Here is a 24,318-nt window from a genome sequence, read left to right as displayed (position 1 = left end):
TAACTGCCTTTAGAAATGACCACATAAGGCCAGGCACAGTGGCTCACATCTGTAATCCCAGCACTTTGGGAGGCCGAGGCAGGCGGATCACCTGAGGTCAGGAGTTCGAGACTAGCCTGGCCAACATTATGAAACCCCGTCTCTACCAAAAATACAAAAATTAGCCAGGCGTGGTGGTGGGCGCTTGTAGTCCCAGCGACTCAGGAGGCTAAGGCAGTAGAATCGCTTGAAGCTGGGAAGTAGAGGTTGCAGGGAGTCGATATCACGCCATTGCACTCCAGTCTGGGGAACAAGAGCGAGACTCTGTCTCAAAAAGAAAAAATATAAAGAAAAAGAAATGACCACACAAAATGTAATTCATTTCAGAGGCTGTGAATTAAAACATAGCTAATAGTCAAATATAAATATTGTGATATTTTTTCTAAAACATGACAATAAGGAATATAAGTAATCTAACAAGACATTTAATATATATTGAATTGAATGTAAAACAAAAAATAATTTATATTTACTTTTCCAAAATAATATGTGTGCCATTTAAATTATAACTTTTTCAATATACTTGGCTACTAATATTTACTTAGAATGCTGAGTGTTTAATAAAGTCAACAAACATTAATATTAAATGTTATAGAATAAAATATGGCCCTAAGTGGTCTGTGAATAATATTGGTGGGTCAAATTATTATGAATACTGTAGCTTACTAAATAAATGTTTCAAATGTATAGCTTGAATTCCAGACACTTAGTTGCCCAAGAAAAGAATAACTTGTCTATGTTAGGCCTTTATGCTGAGATTACTCACTTAGCAGCGTGATTCCAAAATTACTCTGATGAACTTCAGAACCCTCCAGTGTTGGAAGTGGGGGTACTGATTAATAAATTGTTGAGTTATAGGGCATTATTACTTCAGAATAGAATGTAAAAGAAAAGCTCAAAAAAGTTTCCAGACCTAAAAAGAAAGGTGTTTATTAAACTAGGGTATTTACAATAATATTTTAAACTATAACTTGTAAGTATAAATGAACTTAGGTCTTAATAATGTGAATTTTTGTGAGAAAAAAGTGGTGTATTGTATTTTCTCCTAACATAAAAACCATTCCTTTAAGTAGTTCTCATTTGTTAAGTTATAATAAATATTTTTCATATAGAATATATAGATGACAATTGTGATGTTAATATAATGTAATTTTCAATTAAAATATGAAATTTGGCAAATGTTATTTTCCTTATCTCTAAGGAGAAAAATAAATTCTAGGTTCCTTGAATTAAGATATATTATTACATTAGAATTGTGATTATTCTTCAGTCTTTTCTGGAACTTGTTCAGTCCTGGGAAAATCTTCTTTGTACTTCTTCTTGAGGTTACTTAAATATATTCGTAAACTGTCTGGATCCAATTGAGAGTTTCGAGCAGTTTGAACAAGCCTAGTGGCTAGATGGTACACAGCTCTCTGTCTTTCCATCTCAGGGGTACTCCTTTGGTTTTGCTGTCATTGAAAAAAAAAAAATATATATATATATACACAAATACCATAATTTTTATTTAAACCACATGTTGGCAATATTCTATCTCCTTCCATAGACATATGGAACTCAAGGGTTAACTAATTCCTTTGAACAAATCAGTTTCCTCCAACAAGGAAAGAATATACAAGAAGAAATAAAAGAAATATTGTATTTGAAAGAACATAATTTATTCTGAGTATTTGTTACTTTATCACAGATCTTATGTTCTTGAAATCACTTTTCAATGAAAAAAATTATGCTAAATAGGTCAGATTTCTCAACATAATACCGAAAAGTAATAGAAAATCCACCAGAGATAGACTCTACAAACACTTTCCCATTAAAAAGGTATGGGAAAACAGCATTGTTCATTGCTATGTGGTAATATACTTTTAAATGATGCCAAAGAGTACTACTCTGCTATCTCCTACTTTAATTCCCCAACAGATAAACTGGTACACAGAATGGGTCATCAGAAAATTGCTTGCCCCTAAAGAGAGTACATATATAGAAACTGCTGGAGCCTAAGAGAAAATACTGCCTGAGGGGTAAATTACATTTTAAAAATAAATAATATGAATAGCTATTTAAAATCATGCCTTAATTTTTAATAAACTAAACTTCGGGATACCCAAGAAATAATATGTAAAACAGGAATGTAGAAGTCCTTTAGATGCTTGGTCTTGAATAGAACTTCAGGACTGCAAATATACCTAGAAAATTCTTATTTCACCTCTTTGCCTGAACTAGATAGAGAAATCAGCATTTTTAATCTTAACTTTTTATGGAAAGTCTTAGTGAGTTTCCCTGAAATATAATCCCTTCAACTCATAATAGCAAGCAACTCCAGATTTTTTTTTACTTTTCACTATAGGAAAAATGAGTAAGATTTTATGAGGTAGAATAAGATTACCATATATTCACCCATCTATCTATTTGGTACACAGATCAATTACCAATTAGTCTATTATTTTAAGAAAGTTATTGAATATCTACTATCATCTATGTTCCAGGCCTCTAAGCTTACGTTTATATATCTATGGGGGATACAAAAATGTAAACCTCACATGATAACAGAACTCAAGGAGCTTACAGTCTTAATGGTTAAAAAAACAAAAGGCTTGTTGTAAGCAACTGATTATAATAATTAAGAAAAGTCCCATAAAACAGCCATAAAATACTCAGAGGAAGGGAAACTCACTTCCAGCTCAGGCCAAGAAAAGCTTGAATAGGATGGAGTATTGAAATTAATCCTGATAGATAAAACAGCCTAGAAGAGGGGGTATTCCACAGAGGAAACAGTTAGAGCAGGTACATTTGAAAGCATGGTACACAATCAGGTCAATATGATGAAATGGCAAGTAATTCAATGTAGTAATGACAAGTAATTTAATTTACAAGATTGAAATTGCAGAAATGTAGATTACGTGAAACCGAGTGATATTATGTAAGGGAGGTGTAGAAAACAAAGGAAAATCATGAAGCAGAAGCCAATAAGCTTTACAATCACGTAAAAACTGGTTAAGAAGGCAAATCCCTGAGCCACAGAAGATCCTTGACAATCTAGTATGGTACCCTGTATCTCAGGCAATTCTAATGCAGGTAATTCTAAAATATATTTTGAGAATTACAGAGGACTTTTTACACTAGACAAAGGAGTTCAACTTTACTTTGTAATAAATCATTAAAAGTTTCTGAGTAGGCAAACTACATAATAAAAACTATGCATTAGGAGACAATCTGGTAGAAGTGTATATAAATAGATTGAGAGAGAGAGAGAACTTACTGCATAGTCCTAATGACAGGTGATTAAGAGGAATGATCCATATATGACTTTGGTGAGTCACTGGGAGACTTAAAGGTGAAGAGATAAGAGTTTTTTTTAGAAGATGATAAATTTAACTTTGGCTTTTAAACATAGATTAAGATATGTAGGAGAAATATGGAGAAAAATATATAGATTCAGAGTTGAACAGAAATGATGATGGACGCTGTGAGAAAAGATGAGATCACCAAGTGCAGATTTTAGAAAGAAAAGAAACAAGGGCAAAAATCTTAGAAACTTTTATATTTAGTAAGTGGAATAAGAAAAAGTAATGATGATGGCTGGGTGCGGTGGTTCATGCCTGTAATCCCAGCACTTTGGGAGGAAGAGGCGGGTGGAATGCTTGAGCCCAGGAATTTGTTAAAAACCAGGCTGGGCAACACAGTGAGACCTTGTTTCAAAAAAAAGAAAAAAAAAGAAAAGAAAAAGTACTAGTGAAGAAGGGACAGAAGAAATAATCAAACAGGTAGGAGAATGAAAATATCCAGGAGAGAATAATTCCACATAGCCAAGAGAGGGCAGAATTAAGAAAAGAGAAAACAAGGGTAGTGTCAAGTGCCATAGAGAGATCATGGAAGATCAGAAGTGAAAAGAAGGACAAAGGATTTTATAATTAGTTGGTATTTAAGAGAAAACTTTGGGGAGAGTGATGACAATAAGACTCAGTTTAAACATGAGAAATGAAAGAAGCAAGCATGGGTTACTTTTGATAAGTTTGCAGTAAAAAGAAAATGAAATAATAGTTTGAAAAGTAGAGTAAACAGGCAGAATTTTAGGGGAGAAATCTAAGCATACTCTTAGAAAAAGGAAAAGCCTGTGACGAAAATATTAAAGATGCAAAAGAGAATAAAGGGAACTGAGAAGTAATAATAACTTAGTGGAGATTTTTTTAAAAGGTAGAATAGTTAACCTTCTGTCTGAAAGTCAGTCTCTTCCTCTGAGATAAGATGGAAGAGAGATGGAAGAAAAACAGAAATATTCAAAACAAAATTTTGAAGGAGGGGAGGTTCAAGAACTCATCAAGATGACCTCAAATTTGTTAAAAAGTAGGAGGCAGATTATCTGTAGAAAGTGAAGTGATTGAGAGTACAGGAAGAGTGAAACTGTTTCAAAAGAGTTATCGTAAAAGAAGCTAAATAATAAATAAAAAGAAAAAAATACAATTCTCATCACATACCATGGCCTGTCAGCGGGGGGAGGGGGTGGGAGGCAAAGGGAGGGATAGCATTAGGACAAATATCTAATGCATGCGGGACTTAAAACCTAGATGACGGGTTGATGGGTGCAGCAAACCACCATGGCACATGTAAACCTATGTAACAAACCTGCACGTTCTGCACGTGTATCCCAGAACTTAAAGTATATACTAAAAAAAAAAAAATACAATTCTGGATATCAACAAAATGGCAGAGTAGAAGCAGTCTGCCTTTGCTCTCCCCACAGAGAACCAAAAGCAAATATCTGGAGCACAGATTAACACCAGCAACATTTTAGAAGCCAAATCTGAGGCTGAAATGATAGTTGGGAGACAGAGAAGTGAAAAACTCTGAGCAGACTATAAAAAGAAAGAAAGTTCTCTATCTGCAATGTCCGTGCCCCAATCTGCCAGGCATCATGCACAGAAAATTCCTCCCAATCTCATTTGTTCTACTCTGGAAAAAGTGAGATTGAGGTGGATAGCCAGCTTCCCCACCATCCTGGGTTCCCTTGCAGAAAAATCATTCCTGCCTAAACCCACAGGAAGCACCACTAGTGCCTGGAGGGAGAAAACCGCCTGAGGGCAGCTAGAGACAAAAAGGGGAGTGGAATTAGAAACTCCAGCCTGTAAAACTACTCCTCATTTCAGTCGAAGGAGACACCAAATCAGTGTGGATGTACAGCAGCACCATGCTAGAGGAAGCAGATGCCACAGGTCATCTGGGTATAAACCCCTAGCCAGCCTTTCCACACAGCTGAGGTATCCCCTCTAAGAACCCTACCATCTGAGATGTGTAGTACTGCAAACATTTGCCAGAGCTGAGGAAATTCTGGGCTTAAGGTGCCATCTAGTGCTGAAAATGAGGCAGCAATCTAGGATTAAGGGGAATCACAGACAATTGCAAAGAACTTCTAAGCAAACATACAACCTAGAAAGTCCAACAAGCGAGACACTGAAGATAAACTGATCCTTCATTGCAAAAACATAGATATATATCCACAAGGAACAAGAGCAAACAGGAAACTATGATCTCCCCAAATGAACAAAGCAAGGAGCTGGTGATCAACATCGTGGTGAGATGGTGATACGTGAGCTCTAAGATCAAGAATTCAAAATAGCAGTTTTAAGAAAATTCATGAACTCTAAAACAGCACAGAAAAAGCAACTGATAAATTTATCAGAGAAATTTAATAAAGAGATTAAAGTTTGGCCGGGCACATTGGCTCACGCCTGTAATCCCAATACTTTGGAAGGCCAAGGTGGGCAGATCATTTGAGGTCAGGAGTTTGAGACCAGCATGGCCAACACAGTGAAACTCCATTTCTACTAAAAATACAAAAATTAGCCAGGCATGGTGGTGCACACCTGTAATCCCAGCTACACAGGAGGCTGAGGCAGCAGAATTTCTTGAACCCAGGAGGCAGAGGTTGCAGTGAGCTGAGATCACACCACTGCACTCCAGCCTGGGTGACAGAGCCAGACTCTGTCTCAAAAAAAAAAAAAAACAGATGAAAGTTTTTAAAAATCAAATGGCAAACAGATTTGAAACCCTGGAACTGAGAAATACATTTGTTGAACTTAAAAAAACTACAGAGGCTCTCCAAAAAAGAAATAGATCAAGCAGAAGAAAGAATCAGTGAGATTAGCCAGGCACAGTGGCTCATGCCTATAATACCAGCACTCTGGGAGACTGAGGCAGGCAGATCACTTCAGCCTAGGAGTTAGAGACCAGCCTGGCCAACATGGTGAAACCCCGTCTCACTAAAAAAATTAGACAGGCACGGTGGCACATGCCTGTAATTCCAGCTACTTGGGTAGCTGAGGCACAAGAAATACTTGAATCCAAGAAGCGGAGGTTGCAGTAAGCCAAGATATAGTCAGAGGGAAAAAAAAACAGAATGAAAGGAATAAAGACAGCCTGAAAGATTTTATACATATATATATATATATATATATATATATATGTATAGAGAGAGAGAGAGAGAGAGAGAGATACACCGTGGAAGAGCAAATCTAAGATTCACTGGTGTTCAAGAGAGAATTGAGAAAGAGCAAAGAGTAGAATGCCTATTTAAAGGAATAAAATGGAAAACCTACTAAACCTAGAGAAATATGTTAATATCTAGGTACAAGAGGTCACAGAACACCAAATATATTCATCCCAAATAAGACAAGCCAAATGATATAATAATCAAACTCTCAAAGGTCAAGGACAAAGAGAATCCTAAAAGCAGCAAGAGAAAAGAAGCAAATAACATATAAAGCAGCTCCAATTCATCTGGCAACAGACTTCTCAACAAAAACCATATAGATCAGGAGGGAGTGGAATAACAGATTCAAAGTGCTGAAGGGAAAAAAACTGCAAACTGAGAATACTATACCTAGCAAAACTTTCCTTCAAACATGAAGGAGAGAAAAAGTCTTTTCTAGACAAACAAAAGCTGAGGAAATGCATCATTACTAGACCCATATTATAAGAAATGTTAAAGGGAGCTCTTAAATCTGAAAGGAAAGAATGCTAACATGCAAAAGACAAACAAACAAACAAACTTGAAGTTTAAATGTAAGTACATAAATTCAGAATACTCTAATACTATAAATGTGATGTGTAATCTACTCATATCTCTAACATAAAGACTATAAGACACATTTATTAGCTGGGCGTGGTGGTGGGCGCCTGTAGTCCCAGCTACTCAGGAGGCTGAGGCAGGAGAATGGTGCGAACCCAGGAGGCAGAGCTTGCAGTGAGCCAAGATCGCGCCACTGCACTGCAGCCTGGGCAAGAGAGTGAGACTCAATCTCAAAAAAAAAAGAAAAAAAAAAAGACACGTTTATGAAAATAGTAACTACAGACACCTTTAAAGAAATAGACAATATAAGAAGGTGTAAATTGAGACAAGAAAAAATCAAAATGTCAGGGGAATGAAGTTAAAGTACGGAGTGTTTCAGTTTTTCCATTGTTTGTTACTTTCTTCTCTCTATGGTCAAAACTAAGTAGTTATCTGTTTAAAATAAAGTGTTATAGCTATAAAATATTTTATAAGCCTCATGAAAATCATAAATTAAAATATATATATTTAAATTTATATAATATATAATATATTATATATTATATATATTATATATAATATATACATATTATATATTATATATATATAATATATAATATGTATATATTATATATAATATATATAATATTGTATATATATTATATATATTAAAAATATAAAGCAATGAATTAAAACATACTACCAGAAAAAATTACTTAATCAAAAAGGAAGAAAGAGAGCACTTACAAAACAACCAGATAACAAGTAACAAAATGGTAGCAGTAAGTCTTTATCAGTAATAGTATTGAATGTAAATGTCCTAAATTCTCCAATTAAAAGACATAAGAGTGTCTAAATGGATTAAAAAAACAAGACTTAAAAAAACAGGAGTTCAAGACCAGCATGGACAACATGGTGAAACCCTGTCTCTATTAGAAATACAAAAATTAGCTGGGTGTACAGGCGGGTGCCTGTAATCCCAGCTACTTGGGAGGCTGAGGCAGAAGAATCGCTTGAACCTGGGAGGTGGAGGTTGCAGTGAACTGAGATCAAGCCACTGTACTCCAGCCTGGGTGACAGAGCAAAACTCTGCCTCAAAAAAAATAAAAGAAATAAAATAAGATCTAACTGTATGATGCTAACTAGAAACTCACTTCACCTACAAAGTCATACTAGACTAAAAGTAAAGGGATGGAAGAAGATATTCCAGATAAATAAAAACCAAAAAAGAGCAGGAGTAGCTATGTTTATATCAGATAAGATAGACTTCAAGTCAAAGACTGTAAAAAGAGACAAAGAATGTTATTCTATAATAATAAAGGGGTCAATTCAGCAAGAGGACATAACAATTATAAATATATATTCACCCAACAGTGGACCATCCAAATATGTAAAGCAAAAATTCATAGATATAAAGAGAAATATAGACTGCAATACAATACTAGTAGGGGTCTTCAACATTCCATTCTCAGTAATGGCCAGATCATCCAAACAGAAAATCAACAATTAAACACTGAAGTTAAACTACACTCTAGACTGCCTGGACCTCACTGACATTTGCAGAACATTTCATCCAACTGCTGCAGAATACAAATTCTTCTCATCATCACATGAAACAGTCTCCAGGATAAACAATACATTAGGCCACAAAACAAGTGTCAATAAATTCAAAAATGTCGAAACCCTATGAAGTATATTTTATTCCACAATGGAATAAAACTAGAAATCAATAACAGAATGAACTTTTGGAAACTATATATATAAATACATGGAAAATAAACAACATGCCCCTGAACAATCAATGGGTCAATAACGACATTAAAAAGAAAAATTTAAAAATTCTTGAAAAAAATACATGACATACTAAAATCTATGACATACAGCAACATATTGCTAAGAGAAACGTTTATAGCAATAAACACCTACAACAAAAAAGTAGAAACATTTAAAAAAAAACAACAACAACCTAACGTGGTACTTCTCAAAGCTAGGAAAGCAAAAACAACAAGCCAAACCTAAAATTGGTAGAAGAAAAGAAATAATAGAGATCAAAGCAGAAATAAATGAAGTTGAAACTAAAATAAATACAAAAGACAAACAAATCTTTACTAGACCAACTAAAAAGAGAGAAGACCCAAATAAAATCAGAAATGAAAAAGGAGACATAACAATTGATACCACAGAAATACAAAGGATCATTAGAGACTATTGTAAACAACTATATGCCAACAAATTGGAAAACTTAAAAGAAAGAAAGAAATTTCTGGAGACATACAACTTACCAAGATTGAAGCATGAAGAAATAGAAAACAAGAATAGACCTATAATGAATAATGAGATTGAAGTAATAATAAAAAATCTCCCTTCAAAGAAAACCCCACAGTATAGGGAGACCCCCATCTCTGCAAAACAGTAAATAAATAAAAATTAGCCAGATGTGGTGGTGTGTACCTGTGGTCTCAGCTATTTGGGAGGCTGAGGTAAGAGGATTACTTGAGCTAGGAGGTCAAGTAAGCAGTGGGCTGGGATTGCACCACCACACTCCAGTCCAGGCAACAGAACAAGATCCTGTCAAAAAAAAAAGAAAGAAAAAGAAAAAGAAGAAAAGCCAGTACCTGATGACTTCACTGCTGCATTATACCAGATATTTTTAAAGAAGAATGAATAGCAAGTCTAATCAAATTATTTCAATTAATTACAGAGGAGGGAACACTTCCAAACTCATTCTATGAGGCTAGTATTACCCTGATATCAAAACCAGACTATGAAACAACAAATAAAGAAAACTACAGGCCAATATTCCTGTTAAACATAAATTAAGAACCCAACCAAATACTAGCAAACCAAATACAACAACACACTGAAAAGATCATTCACCATGATTACACGGAATTCATCCCAGGGATGCCAGAATGATAAAACATATGCAAATCAATAAATATGATATGTCATATTAACAGAATCAAGGACAAAAACCATGTGATCTTTTCAATAGATGCCGAAAAAGTATTTGACAAAATTCAACATTCCTTTATGACAAAACGTCTCAACAAACTGGGTGTAGAAGGAACACACCTCAAAACAATAAAGGACATACATTACAAACCCACAACTAAATAATACTATGGGAGTAAAAATGGAAAGTCTTTCCTCTAACTTCTGGAACAAAACAGGGACACCCACTTTCACCACTTTTATTCAACATAGTACTGGATGTCCTAGCCAGAGCAATTAAGCAAGAGAAAGAAACAAAAGGCATCCAAACTGGAAAGGAAGAAGTCAAAATATCCTTTTTACAGATGACATATTATACTTAGAAAACCCTAAAGACTCCACCAAAAATATAAAAATCAGTGACATTTGTATACGTCAATAGTGAACAAACTGAAAAAAATACAAGAAGAAATCCCATTTATGGACTGGAAGAATAAATATTGCTATAAATGTGTTCATTGATTGGAAGAATAAATACTGCTAAAATGTCAATACTATTCAATGTAATCTATAGATTCAATACAATCCCTATCAAAATAACAGACATTCTTCACAGAAGTGGAAAAAAATCCTAAAATTTATATGGAACCACAAAATACTTCAAATAGTCAAAGCAACCCTGAACAAAAAGAACAAACCTAGAAACATCATGCTATCTGACTTTAAAATATACTACAAAGCCATAGTAACCAAAACAACAGAGTCCTGGCATAAATACAGACACATCAAAAAATTGAACAGAACAGAGAACCCAGAAATAAGTCCAAGCATTTACAGCCAACTCATTTTCAACAAGATACCAAGAAGACAGTCTCTTCAATAAATAGTGCTGGGAAAAATAGATAACTATATATAGAAGAATGAAGCCAGACTCATATTTCTTACCATATATAAAAATCTAATCAAAATGAATTAAAGACTTAAATGTAAGACCTGAAACTATGAAACTACTTGAAGAAAACATTGGGAAATGCTTTAGGATATTAATGTGGGCAAAGACTTTTTGGGTAAAACCTCAAATGTGCAGGCAATAAAAGCAAAAATACACTTATATAATTACATTATGTTAAAAAGCTTCTGCATAGCAAAAAAAAAAATTAACAAAGTGAAGAGACAGCCTACAGAAGGGGAGGAAATATTTTCAAGCTCTCCTTCTGACAACCAAATTAAGCAAAATAATAACAAAGAAATAATAACCAAAACATCTAAGTAACTCAACTCAATAGCAAAAAAATCCCACCAAATAAACCCAATTAAAACATTGGCAAAACATCTGAATAGATGTTTCTCAAAAGAAGACATACAAATAGCCAACAGGTGGTGGGAATGTAAATTAGTTCAACCTTACGGAGATTTCTCAAAGAACTAAAAGAACTATATATATATATATATATATATATATATATATATATATATATATATATATATATATATATACATACACATATATAACACCTGTACCTAGTTCATCACAGCACTATTCACAATAGCAAAGTCATAGAACCAACCTAAACACCCACCAATAGTTGACTGCATAAAGAAAACCATGGAATACTAATAGCCATAAACAAGAATGAAATCATGTCCTTTACACAACATAGATGGAGTTGGAGGCCATTATCCTAAATGAACTAACTCAGAAATAGAAAACCAAATACTGCATGTTCTCACTTATAAGTGAGAGCTAAACAATGGGTACACATGGACATAAAGATGGAAATAACTGTCACTGGGGACAAAAGGGGGAAGGTAGGAGGTGGCAAGGGTTAAAAATTACCTATTGGTTACAATGTTCACTATCTGGCTATTGGGTACACTAGGAGCCCAACTCACAGCAGTATGCAATATACCTATGTAACAAGCAAGCACATGTACCCCCTCAATCTAAAATAAAGTAAAATAAAAATAAACAAAAAATAGGCAATGTGGATATATTATTGCAACTACATCATAGTTGTTGTGAAAAGGGGCCTTTAAGAACAAGAAATGAGTACATTGCTCCACTGGAAAAAAATTCAGGGAAGTTTCTTGGGGAAGTTCACATCTGAGCTAGGTAAAAATGTTAAATAAAAATTATATGGATGAGGTAGATGGAGGAAGAGGAATTAAATTCTTAGCAGAGGGAACAACATAAGTGAAATAAAAGATTAAAAAACAAAACAAACATATAGCCAACAGGTATATGAAAAAATGTTCAACATCACCAGTCATTAAGGAAATATATATCAAAACCACAATGAGATATCATCTCACCTAGTTAAGATAGCTTTTATCCAAAAGACAGACAATTAACAAATGCTGGTGAGGATAGAGAAAGGGGAATGCACATACACTGTTGATGGGAATGTAAATTAGTATTGCCACTATGAAAAATAGCATGGAGGGTTCTCAAAAGACTAAAAATAGCACTATCATATGATCCAGCAGTCCTACTGCTGGGCATCTATCCAAAAGAAAGAAAATAAGTATATCAAAGAGATGTCTATATTCCCACGTTTATTGCAGCACTATTCACAATAGCCAAGATATGGATCAACCTAAGTGTCCATTAACAGATGAATGGATAAAGAAAATGTGGTAAATATACACAATGGAATATTATTCAGCCAAAAAAGAAAGAAATGAAATCCTTGCATTTGTAGCAACATGGATAAAGAATCACTATGCTAAATGAAATAAACCAGGCACAGAAAGACAAATACCACATGTTCTCACTCATATGCCTGAGCTAAAAGAGTTGATCTCATGGAGGTGAAGAGCTCATTGATGGTTACTAGAGGTTAGGAAGGGTTTGGAGGAGGAAGGAGATGAATACAGGTTGGTTAATGCGTACAAAAATACAGTTAGATTGAAGAAATAGTCTAGTGTACGATAGTTCAGTAGGGTGACTATAGTTAATATGTGTCGTATAGTTCAAAATAGCTAGAAGATAAGAATTGCAATGTTTTCAACATGAAGTAAAGATAAATGTTTGGGGTGATGGCTATCCCAACTACCCTGATTTGATCATTACACATTGCATGCAAGTATCAAAATATCACATGTAGCCCCAAAATATGTACAACTATTATCAATTAAAAAAAGAAAAAAATCACAATTATCCAGTAAAATATTCAACTAAAATCAGAATATATGAATTTGCAGTGGATAAAAATAGCTTGTTTCGAATATTTTTCAAACTTCATTAGGAGAATCAAAGCCTACTAGAAGGCTAGTAGAGAGGTGGTCCATAATTGAAATGTGGTAAGATGAACTCTAAAGAGTTAGGTAATAAGAGCTTCTTCAGAGTACAGAACAGTTAAAATTTCTGACTAAGAGATTCAAATAGATAATTAGGCAAGTGAAGTCACAGAGACAGTAGAGGAACTTAAAGGAGAGAGGAATTAAAAATGGAAGACAGGTTAAGAAAGAGTGAGGGACACAGAAAATTGTTATTGAAGAAAATATCACACTGCACCTAGGTCAGTTTACTGAACACATTGCATTTTTAAAACACTGTAAAGCAGCTGGGAGCGGTTGCTCACACCTGTAATCCCAGCACTTTGGGAGCCCGAGGTTGGTGGATCACCTGAGGTCAGGAGTTCGAGACCAACCTGGCCAACATGGCGAAACCCCCACCTCTACGAAAAATACAAAAAAAAATTAGCCGGGTGTGGTGGTGGGCGCTTGTAATCCCAGCTACTCAGGAGACTGAGACAGGAGAATCGCTTAAACCCAGGAGGCGGAGGTTGCAGTGAGCCGAGATCATGCCATTGCACTCCAGCCTGGATGACAAGAGCAAAACTCCATCTTAAACAAACAAACAAACAAACAAAACCCCAAAACCAAAAACACTTATATAAAGCAACCAAAATTTTCCAAATTTTGAGTCAACAGATGTGAGTTTAGTGTTGAACCTACTGCTTCCTAACAAATCACTTAACCTCTGTGAACCTGTAAAATTAAGAGTAGAAGTAATCCTTTTTTAATCTTTTACTATAAAGACCTAATTACTTCATGAAGAGTTATGAGGCTTACATATGATGAGTAGAAAAGCTTTGAAAACTATAAAAAATATATAATTATACAAATATTGTGCATAGTGATTTTCATTTTTAATGTCCACTTAAAATAGATTTATTTCCTCATCATAAAGTTAGTATAGCAATAATTATTTTATAAACTAAACTGTTTAATTTTTATCTCCTAGCTTGTTAGCTGATTTGCTGCGAGGATTATAATAGACCAAACCAAAAGAGTTTTAAGAAGTAAAATTAATTTTCTTTGTTTAGAAATTAGGTTTTAATTTTAAATATTTTAATTATTATATTAATTATTATATATTTAGATCAAAGGTCATAATAAAAATCTACACTAAAAGTATTTTTTTTAATTTGAAGAACAAATAAGAACAAAGTTTCTTACCAAAATTTGTCTCGTAATTTGAGTTGTGATTTCCTTGGCATCCAAGACAATTGATGGTGGAAGTGATGACACCTCTGCAGCTTTTAATCCTAGAATTATTTGTTTTAAATTTGGCTTCAATATTGTTACTGCTGGCATTTTTATGCTTCTTTTAACTAGTATTAATCTTTTAGTCACAGATTTAAACTTCCCTTCTAGAGGCACTTCTGAACTACTCAATAATTCTCAGAATTAAGCTTTCTAAAATTCTGGATGACAACTTGCCAATTATTAGATTTAATTACTTATCCAAGACACATAGGGCAAATTAGAATATCAGTTACCTCTCAATATAGCTCTGAGATATCAGGAACAAAAGAGATAGTTAGAAAATAATAATATTGAAATTCCATTTGCAAATATAGTTGGTTAACAGAAGGTCAAAAGGCATATGAGTTTTGCAGGGGAAGATAATAGCTAGTCACAGGGATAACACTACAGCTAAACATTCACCCACCTAAATCAATGAGACAGGAATTTCTCAGAAGATGTAACAGTTGGTGAGTAATCTATATGCAAATTCAAAGGATCAATTATAATTCTCATGTTTTTAGAGCTTAATTTTATTGTATAAATGCCATATGGCTTTCTACTGTACACCAATAGCTTACTGTATTTATTGCTTTAGAAATAGAAGCAACATCAAAATTTATTGAGACGTTAGTAATTGCTAAGCAGTGTGCCACACAGCTCACATTTGATAATTAATTGAATCTTTGCAACTCTACATATATAAAAAATTATTCCCATGTCATAGATCATGAAATTGAGGCTCATAAATTTTAAACATCTGATATAAATAAGTAATCCAGTTGATTTCCCATTTCAAATAGCAAAACAAAGATGGTTTTTTTCCCTCAAAGGGTCATATCCATAGCTAAAATAATTTTTGAAACTTGTATGTACAGACCAATTGAAAATTCTCTGAATCTGTGAGACTTAATGATTTAAATAGAAAGTATCTAATCAAGTTGAAGAATATCTAGCTGGGCATGGTGGTGCACGCCTGTAGTCCCAGCTACTCGGGAGGCTGAGGCAGAAGAATCACTTGAGCTTGGGAGGTGGAGGTTGCAGTGAGCAGAGATAGTGCCACTGCATTCCAGCCTGGGCGACAGAGTGAGACTTTGTCTCAAAAAAAAAAAAAAAATATGGTTTGGTAATACATTCTCTTTTAAGATTTAAGATTTTAGATTTAATTTTCAAGTACCCAGAACCTGAAGAAAAACAGAGGAAGGACCCTGCTACTGAAAGATTGTGTAGAAAATATATAATTTTCAATTCATTATATAACTTGCAAATATAAGATAAATTACATTTTCTAAGGAAACTAATACTTCTAGGGTTTTCAGTTGTCACTGTATTTTTACATAGTTACTGGCTTATAAAAATTTAAAAAGATTTATATATCTATATCTAGATATAGATACAATGAGCTTGACATAGAAAATACAATCTAAGAGAATATAAGCACTCAAAAGAATGAGAAAATTTCCTTAGATTAACAGCCAAGTAAAGAAGAGATGAAAGTTTGTCTTAGGAGAATATATAGTATTTGAATGTATAGGTATAATTTCTATATGCAGTACCATAATTTTTCTCTTCTGTGAGTCCCTTAGAAAGTTTGTAGGTATACAAAATTGCTTCTTTATTTCTTGAGGTATTCTTTACATGTTGAACTTCAAAATGCATGTTTTCTACATTAGGATACAGGGCATCAATATGGCATAGTTCCAGGAAATGTGTAGCAAACAGTGTAAATGCCTGGAATATATAACAGACAATGAATATTAGTACTTTAAAAATTAACTAGAAAATTCTATTTTAACTATGTGAACATAAAATTTTAGTTTAATTTTCTAAGTAGCTTGGCAGAGATGTAGGAATAAAACTAATAATTTGGAGGCTAACATTATCAATCCATTTTAAAATGTTTTGAGATTTTATATTAAATGAAGAAGATATGTTTATTATGTTTGTGCACAGACGTGTATGCCACATTATGGGAAAGAGAACAAAACTGAAAATAAAATCCTAAAAAATATATCTGAAGATATTGAAAAGATGAAGTTTACCAGAAACAAAGCTATGAATTGAAGTAATCATTTATTAGGAAGGTAACTCACATGCAAAAAAAATAATATTTTCCTCAATTTTTAAAAAACTTAACTATAAAAGTAGCCTCCCTAGTTGTAAGTAGGTTTTGGCAGTGGAATCAAGAGATTGTCTTAGGTATGTCAAATTCCAAAAGTTTTTAGTTTTTAGACTTCATTGTGTTTGGGTTAGGTACTGGTAGAGGAAAAAGAAAGATTGAGAACACTGATTAAGATAATGGCTCTCAAACATTAGTAATCCCTTAGAGAGCCTGTTAAACATGCAAATTCTTGGTACATATCCCCTGAAAAATTGTCAACCAATAGTTCTAATGTGGCGCCCCAGGAAATGGCATTTTCTGTAAGTACTTTAGGTGATTTTGATGAAAGTGGTTCAAGTGACTTACAGCCAGCACAAGATTTCCAGCCCAGAATTTACTAAGGCAGATAGAGATCTGAATAACCAGTTACGTTTTAAGACATTATGAGTGACAAATTAGGTAGGTGTTCAGTGGAAATTTAAATATTAAGACAGTAAAAATAATTGATTGGCAAAATGGCTATCAACTATGGAAAGTGAAAAGCAAGGGAAGGAATAATTTTGTATATGACAGAAAAATGAAAATTCTTAAATACCTACTCAACAAATCAAAAGGAGTATAAAACAAAACCAAATTTATAAAGCTACAGGAAATATTTAGAACACAGTAAGCTATTTAAAAGGTAGAGACTATATTCAATAACAATAATGTCCTTAAAAGTTATATGCCAAACCAATCTATTAGAGGAACTTTGTAGACTCTATTTCAGGTTAATTCAATTTAGCAAATAATTATTCAGACCCTATCTGTTGCAAGAATTGTGCTAGGCACTAAGGATACTGTGTTAGAAAATAATAATTAAATTTAAAATAAGTAGCAATATTACATTTTTATTAAATTATTTATACTAGAAAATAATATTGTAAAGTAATACTAAAAACACTATTTTAAACTATTGTAGAATACTTTGGAAACAGATACTGTATGCTTGAACCTGTGAGGTGGAAGTTGCAGTGAGCTGAGATCATGCCACTGCACTCCAGCCTGGGCAAAAAGAGTAAAACTCCATCTCAAAAAAAAATTAAAAAAAAGAAAACAGATACTGTATTAGATGGGGTTCTCCAGAGAAAGAGACCAATAGGGTGTGTGTGTGTGTGTGTGTGTGTGTGTGTGTGTGTGTGTGTGTGTGTTGTATGTGTGTAAAGAGATTTATTATATGGAATTGGCTCATGCAATTATGGAGGCTGGCAAGATCAAAAATCTACAGTCAGCAAGCTGGAGACCCAAGAGAGTTGATGGAATAACTCCAGTCCAAATGCCTGCAAGCTGTAGACTTAGAAAGAGCCAATGTTTCAGTTTGAGTCTGAAGGCAATTTAGTCTTTCAGTATTTCAGATTGAAGGCAGTAAGTTCTCTCTTATTCTTAGAAGGATCAGCCTTTTTCTTCTATTCAGGCTTTCAATTTATTGGATGGGACCCATCCACCCTAGGGAAGGCAATATGCTTCATTCAGTCTACTAATCTCATCCAGAAATGCCCTTACAGATAAACCCAGAATGTTTGACCAAATGTCTGGGCACCCCATGACCTTGCCAAGTTGACACATAAAACTATTCAACACAAATCCACCCCTTGTAAACTTGGCATCCATAGGCATCTCCTTATACCACACTTAATCTACAAATGAAGACAATAATTAGGTCATACTTCCCTCTAATATGATACAACTGTCTTCAGCACAACTGAGAAAGCACTAACCCCTTTTCCAGAAAAGGAGGTAACGTCACTGAGTGATGTTCATTCTTCTTGATATCTCATAACTTAAATACTATAATGTGAAATTGGCAATACTTAAATAATATGACGTGAAGTCAACACATCTTATGTTACATTATAAGAGAATAAGAAGAAATAAAATATTTGTTTAATATATGTATATATATACACACCAAAAAAATCATACCAAATGAGGTGGAAATAATCATGACAATTACAGACAGTCCTTATTTCTGTAACTGGTAAGAGAGTTGTAGTTGGTAATTACAACTACCTTTTCCTTTTACTACCTATTCTGTATTTCCTTTGGCTTCAGCAAGCCCTAGCTAGTCAGAGCTCTTTAACTAGTGGGGTGAACCAAATCTTCATTCCTGAAAGGTCTTGGCCATTCATAGTCCTGCCTGGGTTGGGTTGTAGTTTTCCACAGACCTTTAACACAGAGCATGACAGAACGGAGATACCCTAAGGAATCTTCTGTATTGCAGACATATTCTTTCTTTATTGCATTGTGGAGTAGTAGTCCAATTTCCCTTTGCTAATCAGGATCAATCACTTCAGCCAACACAATACCTCCCTTCTTTGCCTGTTGATTCAGAGGCATAAGACAGCCAAAGTGGCTGGGCAGGAGTCTCAACTTCCAGGTCAAAAAGTTATCACTATGTCTCTTGGTGGAAGCATACTCCTTTTGGAATTAAGACCTCTATGTCAGCAGAGCAAGGTTATAGAAACTGGAAGCAGATATTTTGCCCTTGAGTTACTAGGGGTAATGGTGAGTGATGCCACTTCCATTTCCACTTCTTGATTGCTGGACCCATGAATCCTGGCAATGGGAGAAACAGCATCATATATTGGAAGCTGATTCAAAGCATATACAGCCTTCTGGAAAACCTTTCCCTAGTCCTGAAAGGTATTGCCACTTAGCTGGTGTTGTAATTGAGTCCTTAAAAGACTAGTCCACCAGTCTATCAAGCCAACTACTTCAAGATGGTTGGTAAACACAGTCAAAACAGTGAATTCCATGAGCACAGGCCCTTTGCAGCACTGCATTTGCTGTGAAGTAAGTTCCTTGATCAGAAGAAATGCTGTGTGGAATACCATAATGGCAGATAAGATATTCTTTAAGTCCATGGATGTTAGTTTTGGCAGAAACATTACACATACAGAAGGCAAACTGATGTCCAGAATAAGTGTCTGTTCCAATATGAATATAATGGAGGTGGTACAATGTAATCAATCTGCTACCAGGGAATGGTACCATAAAGGGGACTCAATGTTCGTCTCTGCTGCCGACAGACTGGGCATGCAGTAATGGCTATAGCCAGGTCAGTCTTGGTGACTGCAGGCTCCTGTTGCTGATCTCATGCATAAAACCTCAACCTAGAACTTTTATGCTTATTCAGATCAAGTCAGAATTTAGTAGCCCTCCTATCCAAAGCCATAGGTCTATGTAAGTCAGATTATTCTGATTGCTGCTTTAACTCTGCTTCCCATTACAGTAACTTTTCCACCTTGTCCTTGGTGGCTGAGTGCCACAACTTGGCCCCTACCACCCTGGGATCCAATTATTCCTATTGCATTTGGGTTTCCCAATTCAGTGCCTGCAGTAAAGGCCTTATGGTGGGCCGTAATGTCTGTCCTATATAGAAGAGTGACAACAGAGCTCTTCAAGGCTGCCAGGGCTCCTCTCACAAATTTATTTCTCATAGTCATGGTAAAAGGTATGTCATTTGGACTCTTCCAGGATGGGTAAGTGATCTTAAATGACAAACCCACTCTAACATTCCAACCTCCCTAAGCTTTGAATCCCTGCATTAAACCAAGGCAACTCATTCATGGTGGGCCAACTTTTGGTCTGTTTTTCAGCCAGTCAATCAAACTGTTAGATCGCTTTCTAACTCTTTGAGTTGCAACATTAAATGCACACCTGGCTTAGTAAGCCCATATCAAAAACTTCAGCCTAATCCAACTTTATGTTCCTTCCACCCTTATCCCACACCCTTAGAATACATTCCCATGCATGTTCCATGGATTTCTGTCTGTATAAAGTAGAAAATTCAAGTAGTTCTTTCAGAGTGCAATGTATCTCCTTATAGTCACATTTTGTACCTCACCTTTAGAGATCTAGTTATAGGTCTAGAGGCAAAGAAATGTGGTGGAAGTGCGACTTGAGGAGACTCAGCATTGGCTGGGATGCCATTACAGTTTCCTCAGGTAATGCTAGGTTAATCCCCTCAGATGCGGTGAAGTGGTCTCTTCTACTGGCAAAGACAACTCATCAGAATTTAGGGCCTAAATGTCCCCAGGTTCATCAGTGTCTCCCTACACATTCCTATTCCAACTGGTAGTCTCCCATTCCTTCCCAACTAATGCCCTCACTTTAACAGGAGATACCCTATAAAGCTGGGAGTTCAACTTGTGTTGTAATTCTGGCATAGGATGAGATTCTGGGTTTGATTTTCAGCAATCTCAACCCTGTGACTATAGGAGATAAGGATTTCCTTCAGGGCACATTTAGGTGCTTTCAAGTCATTTATGCAGCAATGAGCTGGCAATTTGGTGCTTTTTTGTTATTTAAAATGTTTTAGTTAAAAAGTAACACACATGCTTCTAAGTTAACACATTAAATAATGCATTAAATAGCAGCAAGGCTAATTAAGTCCTGCTTTTGGAAGCAGTGAGGAAGTGATGCACATTTCCTGGTGTCTACAGCCACTGTCACAGAATTGGAAAACACCTGTGGTTTCTAGCTAGGGAAAACACAGTTCCTGCTAACCCTGGTGTGCTTGTTTGCCTGCATTCACCTGGAAGAAAAGGCTCAATTTCGAGTAGAAGTTAGTGACCATAAAGAGGCTTTTTTCCCATCTAAGTTGAGGCTTCTGAACTCAAGTTTTCAGATTCATGCAGCCCAGGGATCCATGGATCCCAGGTTAAGAAACCCTGCCCTTCTTACAGCCCCCCTGCTGTGATCTAGGGACACATGTGATGCCTGGTTCTTCCTGGTAGTGACAGGCAGGCCCTCACCAAGTATGTGATGGGCAGTGACTGGAAGTCCCTTGGGTGGGGGCCCGAGCTGGCAATTTGAATCCTTGAGTTCATCCTTTGCTTTCCCAACTTTGTCTAGTGACACTAGGAGCAACCAGCCAATTTCATTATATTCATTAGTTTGCCAAAAATGTTTGGAAGTATCATATATAAAATCACCTGGATCTCTGCTGCTTACAAGCAGTTGATTAAGAGTATACGATAGTGATATTTTACTTACCACTATTGTCAGATCATACCAGAACCAAGATTTGTATTAGGGTTCTCCAGAGAAAGAGGACCAATAGAGAGGGGGTGGGGCAGGAGTGAGAGTGAGAGAGAGAAAGAGAGAGAGAGAGAGAGTGTGTATGTGTGTGCGTGTGAAGAGATTCATCATAAGAAACTGGCTCATGTGATTTATGAAGGCTAACAAGTACCAAGGTCTAAAATGGGCTAGCTATAGGTCCAGGAGAGCCAATGGTACAACTCCAGTCCAAAGCTGGCAGGTTCCAGACCCAGAAAAAGCCAATGTTTCAGTTTGAGTCTGAAGGTAGTAAAGAACAGATCTTCCATACTGAAGGCAGCCAGGAAGGAGGAGTTTCCTCTTACTCATTGGAAGGCTTTTTGTTCTATTCAGGCTTGCATTTATTGAGTGGGACCCACCCACATTAGGTAGGGCAATCTGCTTTACTCAGTTTACCAATTCTAATCTCATCCAGAAACACCCTCACAGACATATCCAGAACAATGTTTGACCAAATGTCTGGGCACTCTGTGGCCCAGTCAAACTGACATGTAAAATTAACCATCAGAGGCACTAATTAGCTTTTAATCTTAAGTAATATATGCACTTTATTTATATGAGAAATTGAAACTGACACATTCAAAATTACAAAGACTAATATTATTTATTACCATTACTTTTGATTTATCACATACTTTTAAGCATAAAATAGATTTTTCTCATTCTATATAATAAATCATTACGAGCTGGGCATGACGGCTCAGCCTGCAATCACAGCACTTTGGGAGGCTGAAGTGAGTGGATCACTTGAGCCCAGGAGTTCAAGACCAGCCTGGGTAACATGGTGAAACCCCGTCACAGCTAAAAATACAAAAATTAGCTAAGCATGATGGTGCATGCCTGCAGTCCCAGCTACTCAGGAGGCTGCGGCAGGAGGATTGCTGGAGCCTGAAAGGTGGAAGTTGCAGTGAGCCAAGATTGCGCCACTGCACTCCAGCATGGGCAACAGAGTGAGACCCTGTCTCAAAAAATAAATAAATATAATAAAAATAAATAAATCATTATGGACTTTCATTTAAGGTAAATAACTTCATCTTAGGGACATTTTAAGGTATCTTAAATAAGAAAAAGTATTTTTATTTCAGTTTTGTTCATATCTGTATATATTGTGAGTGACCATTTAAAAAGATATTTTATAAATTAATTTAATAGAGCAAAAATCAATGTTTTACATAGTTGATTTGTGAAAAACTACTTTCTTTAAAGGAATAAAATTTACTTAGGTAGGTAAAATAGATTTTCTGTAAAGTTACCTGAGTTGCCTAGTGCTTTCCTTCCTGTTGTAACATCATAGTCAACATCATTGCACATGGAGGCAATTACTGAAAGACCTTCATATTTTGCTACTGAATTTGATGAAATTAAAGCCAACTGACTAATTTTGCATTATTTGAATTTCTTGATTTCATCTTTTCCTTATCTATATCATGGTTATCAAACTAATGATTCCCACTTTCATTGGAAATGAAGGAACAAAAATATAAATGCGATGATATGTGTTTACTATCTAAATTGTTTTAAAAGCTATTTGTGGGTGTCCATAAAATTCAATAATAATAAAAGGATACATAAAGAAGGACTCAAAATCAATATACTTAAAATAAAAGAATACCTTTAAGCTCAGTAGATATTCACAAACAGCATAACAAATGCCAATACCTTCTTCCGTATTAGTACCTCTGCCAAGTTCATCAATTAATATGAGCGATTTGTCATTAGCATTATGTAGAATATATGCTATCTGAAATATATAATTTTAATATTTATTCATTGTAACCAAACAGCTGTCAATATCACAGGAAAAAATGAGGAGAAACCCAGTCTCTTTATAAGTTCATCTGAAATGTATTCTTAGAGACATCCTGCTGAGCAGAAAATAATAGTTTTCTTTTCTAAAAATCTCATGACTAATAATTCCAGTAGAATAGCTGATGTGTACATAAATAGACATATGCATATGTATATGAGACAACAGAGTAAATAACCATTATCTAAAATATTGATGCTTTAGATACAGTGAAAAAATGCAATAAATTAAATGTTTAAACTAAGCACAAAGATGGTCATTTTCTTCTCCACAAATGACTAATCAATTACTGCTATAAAGTATCCAAAACCATCTCTCAAATTTATTTAAGTATTACTCTATACCCTGTAAAGATGAAGTAAAGAAAAATTTAAGAAAAAATACCTAAGTCTTGATTCTTGGTTTAACAAATAAATTTAAATCCATGACCAATGGAGACTAAGACTTAAATTGACAGAAGTGCTCTTTTCCACTGAAGATTATTAACCTCTTTCTCAAAAATAGAATTTTATCTTTATTATATTATGACACAATAGTAACTTTGATGGACATTTTACCTTTCTATGAGACTAAGCTTTTTGAGTGCTAGGACCATTTAAAAATATACCTTAAGTGCCTAATATATTGCTACGATCTATTATAGATATTCAATACACAATAAATAATTATATAAATCATGGGACAAATGATAACTTTAGTCACCACCTATCTACTTGAAGAAAATTTTCCAACTAAACAGTGATCCTAAATTCATAATACAGA

At 34.9% G+C, this 24,318-nt stretch overlaps 1 protein-coding gene across 1 annotated transcript in view; it reads right to left on the bottom strand.

Annotated features, from left to right (window-relative positions):
- Window positions 944–24,318, bottom strand: part of MSH4 (mutS homolog 4) — a 116,361-nt gene continuing 92,986 nt past the window's right edge. Inside the window, exons 17-20 of the mRNA NM_002440.4 lie at window positions 23,362–23,490; window positions 16,105–16,279; window positions 14,480–14,568; window positions 944–1,490 (exon numbers count right to left, since the gene is read on the bottom strand). Coding sequence (NP_002431.2) covers window positions 1,299–1,490; window positions 14,480–14,568; window positions 16,105–16,279; window positions 23,362–23,490 — 585 coding nt within the window. The 3' untranslated portion in view covers window positions 944–1,298. The remainder of the gene's footprint in view (window positions 1,491–14,479; window positions 14,569–16,104; window positions 16,280–23,361; window positions 23,491–24,318) is intronic.

The sequence above is a fragment of the Homo sapiens genome, chromosome 1 (assembly GCF_000001405.40).
Source record: "Homo sapiens chromosome 1, GRCh38.p14 Primary Assembly".
Taxonomy (NCBI): domain Eukaryota; kingdom Metazoa; phylum Chordata; class Mammalia; order Primates; family Hominidae; genus Homo; species Homo sapiens.
This window is presented reverse-complemented; position numbering and strand designations above follow the sequence as displayed.